At 37.3% G+C, this 13,142-nt stretch overlaps 1 protein-coding gene and 1 long non-coding RNA gene across 5 annotated transcripts in view, besides 1 other annotated feature; one reads left to right on the top strand and one right to left on the bottom strand.

Moving 5' to 3' along the window:
• WLS (Wnt ligand secretion mediator) overlaps positions 1-13,142 on the top strand; it is a 134,088-nt gene that overhangs the window by 23,434 nt on the left and 97,512 nt on the right. The gene's annotated exons all lie outside the window — the stretch shown is intronic.
• Positions 6,126-13,142, bottom strand: part of GNG12-AS1 (GNG12, DIRAS3 and WLS antisense RNA 1) — a 370,700-nt gene continuing 363,683 nt past the window's right edge. The window contains exon 10 of the long non-coding RNA NR_040077.1: positions 6,126-7,144. This is a non-coding gene — a long non-coding RNA (GNG12, DIRAS3 and WLS antisense RNA 1). The remainder of the gene's footprint in view (positions 7,145-13,142) is intronic.
• Positions 8,968-9,469: an enhancer, noted in NCBI's record as "NANOG hESC enhancer chr1:68665327-68665828 (GRCh37/hg19 assembly coordinates)". NCBI's record gives its function as "activates a minimal SCP1, AML or CMV promoter by ChIP-STARR-seq in naive H9 embryonic stem cells {active_cell/tissue: H9 hESC(naive)}" and the evidence as "EXISTENCE:reporter gene assay evidence [ECO:0000049][PMID:30033119]".

The raw sequence follows: 13,142 nt of genomic DNA, 5'->3' as shown, positions 1-13,142 counted from the left end.
ACTGGCAGCTAGTGGGTAGAAGCCAAGGATGTTGCTAAATATCCTCCAGTGCACAAGCCAAACCCCCACAACAGTTATTCAACCCAAAATGCCATTAGTGCAAAGCTTGAGAAATCTCTGAGTAGAGGGATGGGGACCGGGCAGCCAAGAATAATAAGAGGAAATTGGTAGGTATAGCTCTCTGATTGTGAGAAGCCCAGAATTTGGACCAAATATTAAAATAAGATGATGGCCCAGTGCAGGCATATCTCTAACCTTATGCATTCTAGACCCACACTCCTAACACGCCTTTCTAAGACATCAATCCTTTCAATGTTCCCCATGTCATGTATGAACACAATAAATTCTGCCTAACGTTTGCATGATGTGTTTGCACCTCTCTTACTTTCTCATGTTGCCTCTATGGAAGACATAGCCTCTTTGGTCCAGTCTCCAAGTAGGGATTCTGTCAAAGAAACAGGCAGTCAACCAAAGGTGAATTTAAAGTGACCTAACAACTTCTGTTCTTTAACTGTCAAAGCATGGTAAAGGGGATATATAATCTGTAGCAGTACTTCTAGCAATCCCTATTTTCTTTCCCATCTACTTTGATGTTTCTAACGTCTCTTCCAAAATCTCCCCAACACTCCCGCTGGTAAACCGCCCCCCTCTCCCTGCCGAGCTCAAGCCCATATCTTCTACCTATCCCCTGTCTTTTGATTGTGCATCATGAAAACTCAAAGAATCCATCTAGCAATAGTTGAATCCTCATCGGGGGGCAGGTGAGGGGGTTGTGACAGAAGAGGCAAAACCAGCATTCTCTTTATCTGAAGAGAGGAGGGGAAAGGGTAGCAAATACCCATGTCAATAGTTTTTGCTCTGCCATAACTATTTTATAATAATTTGTGAAGATAATTGTGAAAAAAGATGTTATCATCCCATTTTTCTAAGGATAAAACCAAGGGTTAATTCTGTGTTCCCTCAAATAACAGGCTGCTTAAGATATGCCTGGGATATTTCTCAGGGTTATCTTAGATGTTCCAGTTAAAATTTGTATAGAATCATCTCTGGTATTGGGGCTGTTCACTGATAGGTGAGGGGAGCCCCTGTTTTTAACATCCAAGATGCACACCTTCTAGTTCCTTAAATATTGATGAACACACCCCTCAGGGCAAGAAGACAGAACAGAGAACATGGAGTAGGTCTTCATCTCCCACCAGATTCTAATTCTTCTCATGTGTTGACAGCACTATTATTATCAGCTAACATTCATTAAGGCTTCACTATTTTCATGGTACTGTAATAGGGTTTTTATATTAATCATTTTATCCTCAAAATAAATTTAGGAGGCGAGTACCTTTTAGTACACTTTTACAAAAGGGAAACTGGCATTCTACAAGGCTAGGTAAGCTGCCCCACTAAATTGCTAGTGAGTAACAGAGTTGGGATTTGAACCCAAGTTTTTCTGAGCTCTAGCTCTTGCTTTTAATTTTTCTTACTCTCTTTTTGTAATTGCCTTCAGCAACATAAAGCACCGTTCCTGTGAAAGTAAGTCCCTTGCTACTCTGTAATCATTGTTTTCTCTTATGACATACTTTTTGTAGAGGGTAATCAGTGTAAATTTTGAAATATATTAGGAACCCAGCCGTTTAAATGAAAATCTGAAAGAAAGTTATGAATTGATTTCATTAGCAAATTTTGTCAATGATCTCTTGGCTTAGAAGTGTATGCTATGACTTTCATTTCTTCTGAATAATAAATAGACTTAGCTCTCTTGAGCTTATTTCTATCATCCTAAAAAATAGAGGCTGGACATGATCCAAATTATTTCATTGTATTGGAATGTCTTTGTGTTGTATTAGGCTGTGAGTATTCAGACCACTGGCTGGAAGCTGGAATGGTGTTTTTTGTTGTTTTCTCCTAAAGGTCTTTATTATTATTGGATTAGACCTACCTTCTCATATTATAAATTATGGGGGTATAATTCACTGTGCTAAATACATCAGTATGAAAGTTTACATATGCAGTTGGCTGTAGCTTGTCCTTGCTTTTAGGAACAGTTCTTTGATCTCTCCAGCTGTTGGAAGACAGAAAACACTCAGAATACATTCAGATCCCAAACAGTAACAGAACGAGAATAGGACCATTAAGATCTGTTCTTCTAACAGATGTGAAAATATAAGGACAAGGAGGGGGAGGAGGGGCCTGATAGGGACAGCCAGAACTCTTGGAATATAAATTGACCCTAATTTGTAGGAACTTTTTCTTTAAACTTAAAAGAGTGACTTTCATCATAACGTAGAAGTACATACATTCTTTTTAGAATCCTACAATTGCTGAGTTAAAAGTGCTTAACAGTTTAAATACTGCCTTTTACAGTTGAGAAAACTAAGGCCCAAGATTGATTGAATAATTTGCCTGATTAATGCATATCCATTGCTAGAACCCAGCAATCATGAGTCCTGGGATAATTTATTCTGCCAAGATTCTTATGCTCAAATTTGTAGTAGTTCAGGAATAGCAGATCAACTTGTGGCCCAGAATCGAAGCTCTAAATATTATATATGAAGAATGCCCATAGAATAATAATGATAACAAAGACCCTAAAAGTCACCTTTCCATCCCTACCCGGTGCTCAAATGCCCTCTGCATTCTTTGCACTCACCAAGTGTTAACTGAGGAGCACCTCCACTCACACAGGTGCCGGCAGCTCATTTTCTTCAACTGGTGTGGTGAACTGTGGGCCAGTTTGATTTTATTGATCTCAGATTTCCTTCCTGAGAACTTGCAAGATTGGAACCACTCAGGGTAAATCTAATTCCTCCTCCACATTTAGTCATTCACATATTTGACCTTTTATCTTCAACCCTCCATACTAAACCCCCCTTTTAAACAAGCTATACATCTCCAGCTTCTACAAATTCTACGTGTGATATGACATGTCATTCATTTTTCTTTGATTCCTGTCTTAGTGAATGACATCACTCATCTGCTGCCTATGCAAGAAATTTGGGGACATCCTTGACTTCTCTTGTACTTACATCCTATGTGAATCAACAGGGACAGTAAATTGTTCATCCTACATCGCTCTTTCCTCTAGTAAAAACTGCCCCTGCCTGTCACCCTTCTGAATCTCTGAGTCACTTCAGAACTTCTGATACCAGCTACACTCCACTGTTCCTTCAACACCAAGAAGATTTTCACCATTTTTCTTTACTAATTCTTTGAGAACTTTCATATGTGATTCACTGGGGCAGAGAGAAAAAAATCATTTACATCTCTGGGAAATAGTACATACGTGCAGCAGAAGGTTCCTTTGCCCAGGTTTCTGTCTGAGCCTGTTTTGTAGTTTTGATCTCAGAAGTAGAATATTGATGCTTTTAGAAGGGAGTGTTTGCTTTTTCTCTGGTAGGTACTGTTTAAAGGGTGTTAAAGAAATGGCCAAAATCTTCCCTACATGTGTTCTTAAGAAGACACATTTTGTCATAAAATCTTCAAACATTAGTTATATACACTAAAGGCTGAGATGTGAACATTTTATTTCATTTTGTCCCCCATTTGCTTTCTATTCATTTAGGCCTTAAAACCCTCAGGGCAGTGCTGGAAGAAGGTAAATAACTGTAAGTCCTGGCTTTGAGAACCTGTTTCCAGGAACTATGCTGAACAGCAGTTATCTAAACATGTTCCTGCAATATTAATGTTGGCCACAAACCCTTTGGGAGCAGTTTTTTTTAAAAAAATTACCATTGTTTTGTTTGCCTACTATCTAATTTCTTTTGATGTGTAAATTACTTGTGTGGATTGGGTTATAGTTTAGGAAAAGTTCATTTTGATCTTCAAAATTCAGTATTTCATTTAATATATTGCTTGACACGGATCTGGAAGAACCGTCATAAGTATTTGTAGGAAGTGAGTCTCTGATGAGCACATGTGTGACCTTGGGAGACTGACCTCACGGAAGGCAGCTCTGGCTTCTTCCCAAACTGTCACTGAGTGCCAGTCTAAGTGTACTTTGATACAGGCGGGACAAGGATTAATCCACTATGGCATTTAAAAAATGATGCTTAGTAGGCATTTGATAAAATTTTGTTAGTTACATTGAGCATAACTTACATTAATATGTTTATTATGACACAAAAGCCATATAATAAATAGTTCAGTTCAGGTCTGGAGGACTTGCATGTTTAAGTTTCTGTGCTTAGTGGCACAAGGCAGAATAAGATGTAGTCCTTCCCCTTAGGAGCTTATAATTTTGTAGGGTTCAGAAGTGATGCCTGCAAATAAAGTAGAATGCTATAATAAAGACATAGACCAGGTGATACTGGCACCAAAGGAAGTAAGGATCTTTTGTCAACTGAAGGAAAATCAGAGGAGGCCTCCAGCTGGCACACTATAGGCATTTAACAAATTGAATGAAGGAGAGACGGCCCTTGAGCTAGAACCTAAAACTGATGAAATTTAAAATACTAAATAATTGCATAGACTATTTAATTTTGTGATTTCAATGTTTTTTAAAAAAATATTTCCGGCCGGGCGCGGTGGCTCAAGCCTGTAATCCCAGCACTTTGGGAGGCCCAGGCGGGCGGATCACCAGGTCAGGAGATGGAGACCATCCTGGCTAATACGGTGAAGCCCCGTCTCTACTAAAAATACAAAAAATTAGCCGGGCGCCTGTGGTCCCAGCTACTCTGGAGGCTGAGGCAGGACAATGGCGTGAACCCGGGAGGCGGAGCTTGCAGTGAGCCGAGACCGCGCCACTGCACTCCAGCCTGGACGACAGAGCGAGACTCCGTCTAAAAAAAAAAATTAATAATAATAATAATTCCTAAGAATGTGAATGTTAAAACTGCAAGTTACCCTTAAAATGTACCTCTACCCTCAATTCTAGGAAATTTGCAAATTATAAGGGCCTGTGTTTTCTTTGAATAATCAATCAAGGAAGGAAATATGATTATTCTTGGCATTTGTGAAATTCCAGATAAAGACATTAACAGGTCTTACTTGCCCTTAGCCTTAACTTACAATGTACAATACTAAATTTTTGACCATTCAGAATGCCCTGTACTTTAATTGCTTTTATCTGTTTATCTGGAACTGGTCAGAAAATAGAAAACAAATCAATAAACTATATGCAGCTCTTTGTTGGACCTTAATTTCTCCATTCCCTGACATACCATATGCATGGATAGGAGACTTATTTTGGTGTGACTGAGAGGAACTTATATTTAGTTCAGGCTCTTGCTCTTATCTATCCATTTACTTCCCAAATGTTTCCATGGTTGAGGAACCCACCCTTTCCTGAGTCAAACTGTGCCATTGTTTGCCTACCTGAATTATAAGTAATTCTTCCATAGGTTGCTCTGGAGTCAGATTTTCTCTAACTTGAATTCCTGTCTCTCACTATGCCTGCAAGTGCTGTCATAGACTTCCATGGCAGCGCTGTGTTCCTGAGTCAGATCTTCTCTAGGCTAACATCCTAAACACTGCCTACCTGCAATATGAAGTCATAACCAAGACCCGGTAAAAACTGGGAGGGTATCAGATTCAAGGGAGTTTAGTGCATTTTCATGAGCCTATTACTCCATCATTTCTTTATGGAAGTCTTAGAGGTACTCTGTCCCTGACTGTAAGTCTCCCAGAAAAGCTATCTTGCTGGCTCCCTTTGAGTGACACCCAGCCCAGTGCTGGTAGTGCCTTGCCTGTGGAGCTTCAGCAAGCTACTTATGGCCACAGTCGTCTTCATTCATCCCTCAGCTCTGCAACTATCTCAGGTAATCTGAGAGTGCTAATAAATAGTAACCGTTAATAAATAAACAGATAGTTGTATTGGAAAGGAGCATTAGATATGAAATCAGACCTGGGTTCCAGTCCTAACTCTATTTACTGATGAGACAAAAACCACTGATCTTCTGAATATGCAATGGTGCTAATTATGTTACTTGTTAACTAGGTGGATTCGATAATCTATGTATGTGAAAGTTCTTTGCAATTCACTTACTAGTTGTTCATGTTTATTATTAACAATAATATTGATAAAAGAATATATGTAATTTATGAATAATAAATGTCTGATTATTTTAAATAACAAATGTTGGAAACTTGTAGAGTGTAATAGGCACTTTAGAGCAAAGCCACTGACTGTGTTTCTTCTAGAAGATTTAATTTTGGTATTTTCTGACCCTAAAATTCCAATATAAATGTGTGCCCATGGTGAGCTGATTTAAGAAGGAGAGCCAGGTGTCCCCTTTTTTGTTACCTCCACCCCTACAGCTTTGCCAGAGCCACTTTGGGGGCCTCCATGGGGGCTCTGAGAGATTTCCCACACAAGAACTGGTGCGCCCTCCATGCTGGGTTTCTGACATCATAGCCCAAGGTAGTAAATTAAAGATGCTATAATTCACTTTCCACAGGTGGTCTTGGCTGCATTCCACAGTCTTTTGGCTGAAAGGTTGCTGATTTTGAAGCACTGGCCCAAAGTCAAAACTTAGCCCAGATGACTGGCCAGCCGAGCAATGAGCAATAGCGTCAACAGATGAGCCACTGATTTTTCTGTGGAGGTCTTTTGTGTTCACTTCATATGTATTTAATTTTTGCTGTTTTGAGTATTTCTGGAGTGATGGAGAAACAGAAATTGCAGGCATTTTTCAGGGATAGAGAAATTCGTAATTTGATATACTTCCATCAGTCTTTTCGATTTAGGCTGTCTTTGCTGCAGGACACCAAGGGTGGTAAGGGTCAGTTTTTGAGTCCTAATCCAGGCCACCACTGGATTGCTACACCAATTAGCACATCCAATGATTGGCAGATTTTATGAGCTAAACCTCTGGCAGGGCCCTTTATGTGCATTTTACTATTTTTTCAAAAAGAGGGTAAAAAACTAGCACCAATCTTGAGCCTAAAATAATTTCATGTTTGCCACACCATTTCAAATACTATGTAAGAGTTTGGCTCGCTGTCCCAAAGCACTTTAATTTTTTTCCTCTTGGTTCCAATGCTCCTCCATTCCATGGGATCCAAGCCAGGCAAGTAATGTAAGCCAAGTGGCGCTTGTTTGCCACGTAGATCCTGACAAATATAGAGTAATTCTTCTATTCTTCAAAGCTGTTGCATCTTTGGCTCCACAACAATTGAGGTTGTAGGCGAAGCATTTAAAATCCTCATCTGCCTAAAATGTAAACATATGATATTTTCAATATTTTTGAGTCGGAATGTATTTACAAGTGTTTGCTACAATTTTTGGAAAATTGCTGTCAAAATGTCCATAATTTCATAAGTTTATATTGTAAAGAACTATTTTTAAATAAGTGCTTGACTTTTGTGTGTACGGTACAAATTATTTTGCATTCAACTCTGCTATGTAGTATGTATGTTTGTGTTTTGGTGGTAGTGGTTCAGTGTAAAGGAATGTTCTGCTGTATTAAAAAAAATTAGCTTTCCTAGAACAGATGTTAGCATAACTAACTGACTGAAAGTGGCTGGCAAGAATGAATTTCATTTCACTTAGCGTACCCCATTTCATGCACAAGGGCATAGCTTTGATAATTGTAAAAATCACTTCTGGTCTAGTCTCTGTAGACACACTTTCAGCTCTCCAGTAATTGAGATTGAATTGTGAAATAATACTTCATTTAGTAAGCTAGTAAGATTTAATGGGTATGGTTGAAATATAGGAGAATCTTCTCTTCAAAGTAGGTGGTGGAGAAAGCATAAGTGTCTACTATAACTTCAGAGCAATTTCAGTAAAAGAATTAACACACTGAATCATTTAAGTACTAAGTCAATTTAATGCAAATATTTGCACTTTCTTTAGCTGAACTTTTTGAAGAGCTCATTCTAATTAGCCACCCAAAACTTAGATAAGTGGTATGGCAGATATTAAGAAATCTTTTTAGGAACTGACTTTCAGTGAATGGTAAGCAGGTTTGGCTCATAAGACCTCACAGCTCAGCCAGTTAATATGATCTGGCCACTGAAGTTGTGCAGTATATTTCACATGTTTCCTTTTAACCAGAATTAAGGCTTTTGAGCTGGCGAAAGGCATGTGGAATGTCTAAGGAAAATCAATTGAGCATATTTAAAGCTAATTTCTAAACTTAGCTAAAGATTTTCTTAGGTTAAATAAGTACTTTGGGGGCATTTGAAAAAGTAGTTACATAACAGGAATTCATCTAGTCTTTTCTGACACCTGTGTTCCCTTTCTCCCTCTTTTCGACCCTCCCCACCTTGATACTCAAAAAATCCAAAGCACACTCTGCAATTGCCCAAGGGTTTAAGTGCTCAATATGTTTTATATAAGTTCTCATAAGGCAAGCAGAGATATTTAGATAGGCAGAGCTTAGAACCAACTTGGGCATATGCCTTTTAGTTCTTATAAATACCATTCATAGTGCAATGGAGGTTTTCTCTACATTTCAAAGTAAAATGGATATTGAGCCATTCAACTTCATAGATCAGGTAAAAGTTTTGGGAGCTTATATTCATTCTTCAGCTATTGCTTCAAAAGTTTGAGGAGCTTATATTTCCCAGCTGTTGTTTCAAAAGCAATAGCTGGAAAAAAAAAAAAAAAGCAATAGCTGGAGAATATAAGCTCCCCAAACTTTTGAAGATATAGACATAGACCAAGTAATTTGTAGTCTCTGCCCACCCCCGCCCCAACATTAATTCTATCCGTTGAAATCAGTCCCAATTATTTTTAAAAAATAAAGGCTAATAACCAGTTCTAGTACCCCAAAATGTTTTATGGAACAAGATAGAGAATAAATAAAATGAAATTATAAAATATAAATAAATATTCACATTTTTACAGGTGGAGAGATGGTGCTGGCAGCTTTTTAACTGAGATTAGTTTTCAGGTGTTAAATCAATGTCTCAAGTCAGTAGGAGAAAGTATCTGCTACCAACTTTTTGTATGTTTTTAAATCAATGTGTATTGTTCCTATCATTTTTGTTAGATAAATTCTATTGTAAACATAAAATTCTCTAAAACATTTCTGAAATCTTTGACCATTTTTACTTTAAGTCATTACTTTTTAAAATGGTGCTGTTCTGATTATTAATTCTTATAAACAGGAATTACCTTTTCAACTGGTCTATTCTCTGCATTCCTTCCCCTTGTACCCCAAAGCAGATTATTCTTTAAATATCATCTTTGTTGCAAGGCAGACATTCTTCCTCTAATTTAGAGGAAGGCTATTATTACCTGATGACTGAGACTTCAAAGGCTCTTTGGGGCCATTTGTGGGAATAGGACGGGGAGCTTCTTCATTCCCACCTGACTACCCTCTCACTCCGCCTCCTTCCAGCAGATCTCTGGTCTGGCCTTGTGGCTACTTACAGGGCAGAGATAGGTGTCATAAAAGGAAACATTCCTGCCAAATAAAAGTTCTTTGTTATGTGTGGCTCTGTTTATTATTCCTTCTTTATGGTGCTCTATAGAGTACAGCAGGGATGATTGGGAGCAGAGGCCAAGGCACTCTAGTAGAATTATACCACTGATTAGAAAAGGCAAGGGTGGACACAGAGATAAGAGTAGTACTACAGTTTTCACCGTTAAATGATCTCTTTTTAATTTTTAATATTCAAGCACAGATATCTGCAGAAAATATGATTGTTTTAGATATTCTATGACCCAGCACATGTTCTATCTCTACCTCAGCACCTTCCCTCCTTGGCCATCCCCCATTCTCCCTTGGCTATTACCTGCTCTCTTCCAAGGCTAAGCCCTGCCGAAAGCTACCCTCAGCTCTTTTTACAACTGGAGCATCCTGTGCAAACCTCTGTCAAAGAAATTTCCAATCAGGGTGTAATTCTTTGTGAACTTCTCAGCCTCCCACACTAGCCTGTGAGCAAATGGGGGTCTGGGAGGCCATTCGTCTCTGTCTTTAGTTAGTACGGTACCTGCATAATAGTAATGCTCCTAGGTGATTGCTAAAGAAATGTTCATTACTCATAATAAAGCAAAGAAATAAATAGTCTATGTTGGCTTAAATGGAGACAATGTGTCATGTCAGCCTGTTGTTTTAGTTTTATTTTAACTTTTCTAAGAGGCAACCAAGTCTTGTCTCTCTCTAACTCTTAAATTACAGGTTCTGGAAGGAATAGGGGCTAATGATTTAATGTTGACTCAATTTTAAGCATGATAAATGCTAGCGGTTGGCTAGATAGTAATTTGTAAACTGGATAGCCATTTGAAGTGAAATAACAGGAAGCTGACTGGAGTCAATGAATATTCTTCCAAAAGAAGTACTACAGGTTTAGTCATTGTTCACTTACATTTTTATTCAAGGTTATGTTGTAACGATGACTGGATTTTTCTGTCATTCTGGTGTATTCATTTCTCCCACCTCCCAAATATCTGACTGTTGCCCTTTCTCAGGGAATGTCAGGTTACATATAACATTCATCAAAATTATTTTTTCCTGAAATTGTTTATTTATTGTCTGCTTCCTCCGTTATTTGTACGTTCCATATGGTTGGTGCCTATCAGGTTTACTCCAGAACCGGCAGTGTCTAGTGCATGGTAGATACTCAAGACAAATTTGGACAATATACTGTGAGCCATAGTAATGTGTGTAACTGAGGGACCACTGAATTTTCATAGAGACTTCAGGTTGTGTTTGTACATTTCTTCACACCTTGAATTTGTTAGAAGTCTTATTGATTTCATATCACTTTAACATTAAATGTTATATAGAATCACATTTCACAATTCATGTGCTGTAGTGGAAAAGTGGAGGCCAAAAATACTGTATTGAAATACAGACAAAATAAAATGGTCATGTTTGATAAAGTAAAAAGAACTGAATTCATAATGGACTGCATTTTCAATGAATAGCTCATGGTTTTATAACTTCTGTGCATATTCCCAAGGCTATCTTAACCAACCATGAGTTAACCAGTTTACAGTGACTAGGCATATTTAGTTTTGGCCAAATTATTCTGTCATTGAATTGGTCTGGTGTAGAAGTAGTTTTTGGCCTACTTGTTTTCAGTTAAACCTTATACTATGGGTGGGTGGAGGAGACATTTATAATGTGTGCTGAGGCAGCTGGGTAATATTGCATTACTCTCCTAGGAATACTGGGGAGTGGTTATTTTTAGCTTTCACCTGAGCAAACATGACTCAGTTTGTTGACCTGAATCTATCCAGCCCCCTCTTGAATACACAAACTCTATTAATCCCTAGAACCACGCAAGTGACTAAGTAAGGCCTTCATTACAAATACCTGTTATTGTGGCTTGTTCAAAGGTTGAAGATGATTTAAACTTCCTCCATTTAGCTCTTTTCTCTTAATCCCACACACTTTAAAAAAATTTACAGACAGATCAAACTTTTTTTGATTCTAGACACAATTTGTGACCCATGTAGCTAAAATTTTGACTATAGCTAATGAAAACACATTCTATGGTAGGTGACCAGCTACCAGCTGTAAGCTTTGCTTTTGGTTTACGTGATAATGCTGTCTATATAAAGAAACACTTGGGAATTCACTTTTAGCTGGAGTAGGACATTGCACTGAGCTGTAAATATATTATTGGGGGAACATTAACTGTCCATGTTTGAATATCAGGATGTCTGTTTACTTTCTCAAGCAATACTTGTGTTTTCTCTTTTGAACACTATTAGAAAAACGGAAAATGTTGAATTATCTTCAGGTTTTGAAGTTATGGAAAGCATTTTTGAGACTCAAGGACTAATTTATTCAAGTGAAAAAAATTGTGATTCTCACAGTATAGCTTGAGATGCACTTGAGGCTTCTCCAAGTTCACTGCCATGATATTTATGAAAATATTAGTATTTCTGGGATTTTTTTTCTTTATAGAAGAAACACTAGACTAATGAGAGGATGAAAATAATGCAGGCCCCTAAAAAGGCAGGCGTTCACTGCATTCATTAAAAATGCGGACTTTGTGACCATAAAGTGTTCAGCTTCTCTGTTATTAAGTTTGGAATGTGGTTTTGGAGCTTAGCTGAGGAACTCAGCTAGTTATTTTTCGTTTTGGCCTGAGAAGTGAGAGACTTGTTTTTCAAGAAGGTAAAAAATAAAGAAAAAAAGGTTAGGTTCATTTTGGAAGAATAGAAGTTTTAAAATGTAGTAACTATTTTCTGCAGCAAATAGTCAGTTTGAGTATGTTAGCCGAAAATAGAATTCATGACTTTTGTCTCACTGTTTATTTCTCCAACCACATTAAAAAGGGTTCAGTTAAATGTGCCATTTGGCTTTTCTAATGTCAGTGGGCTATTTAGCTGAGTCAGGATAACCAAAGTTTGATTGACTCATATTTCTAAGAATAAGTCAGATGTCTGATTTTAGATGGATTAGATGTGAGGTCTTCGTGATACAGTTTTGAGTTTTAAAGAAAAACGTCTGTAGCAGGGGTTAGTGGCAACTTGTATTGCAGTGTTCAGCCTTCTACATGAAGGATGTTCAGCTAGAGCTTAGTAGTGTTGAGTTTTCTGGTAAGTATTAATAGGCATTGTCCTAACTTCTTACAAACATAACATTTTACTAAAAATGTATCATTAAAATAGATGTTTAATAGAATAGAAAAATAATGTGGATTCGAACATTAGAAGTAGGGCAGAATATTAATAATACACATTTTTCCCGTTATATAACTTTCTTTTTGCTTTTCATGTTTCTCCATTGCTATCTGATCTCTATTAAATAAGAGAGAATTTCTGCAAACATAATATACCAAGTATCAGATGCACAGAAATACACATATTTAAACCACACACATAAACCATAATTGATGACACTTTCTTTTAACTACTAACTTTCAAAGGTTTATAGATGTATCTATTTTAAAATATACTAGTAGGACCCACATAAAGAAAACAATGAAAGTTTTCCAAGAAATTTAAAAACAGATTGTAGACAATGGAGAAACAAGTACTGTTCTTGGATGGGAAAACTAAACGCTGGGGAAGGATGCTAATTCTGTCCACATTAATTTATTATTATATATTTATTATTTATAAATTTAATTTAATCTTCAATATCCTAGCAAAAAGATGTAAATTTGAAATGGATTGGGGAAGAGAGTTACTCTAGCAGATATTGATAAAAATAATAAATTTATAAAATTCAAAGCAATGTTGTGCTGACCCGTGAATTGACAGTTTAATGCATGGAAAAGAACAGATGTTCAGAAACATG

This window comes from Homo sapiens, chromosome 1, assembly GCF_000001405.40.
Source record: "Homo sapiens chromosome 1, GRCh38.p14 Primary Assembly".
Taxonomy (NCBI): Eukaryota; Metazoa; Chordata; class Mammalia; order Primates; family Hominidae; genus Homo; species Homo sapiens.
Note: the sequence above shows the minus strand (reverse complement) of the source record. Positions and strands in the feature narration are given on the sequence as shown.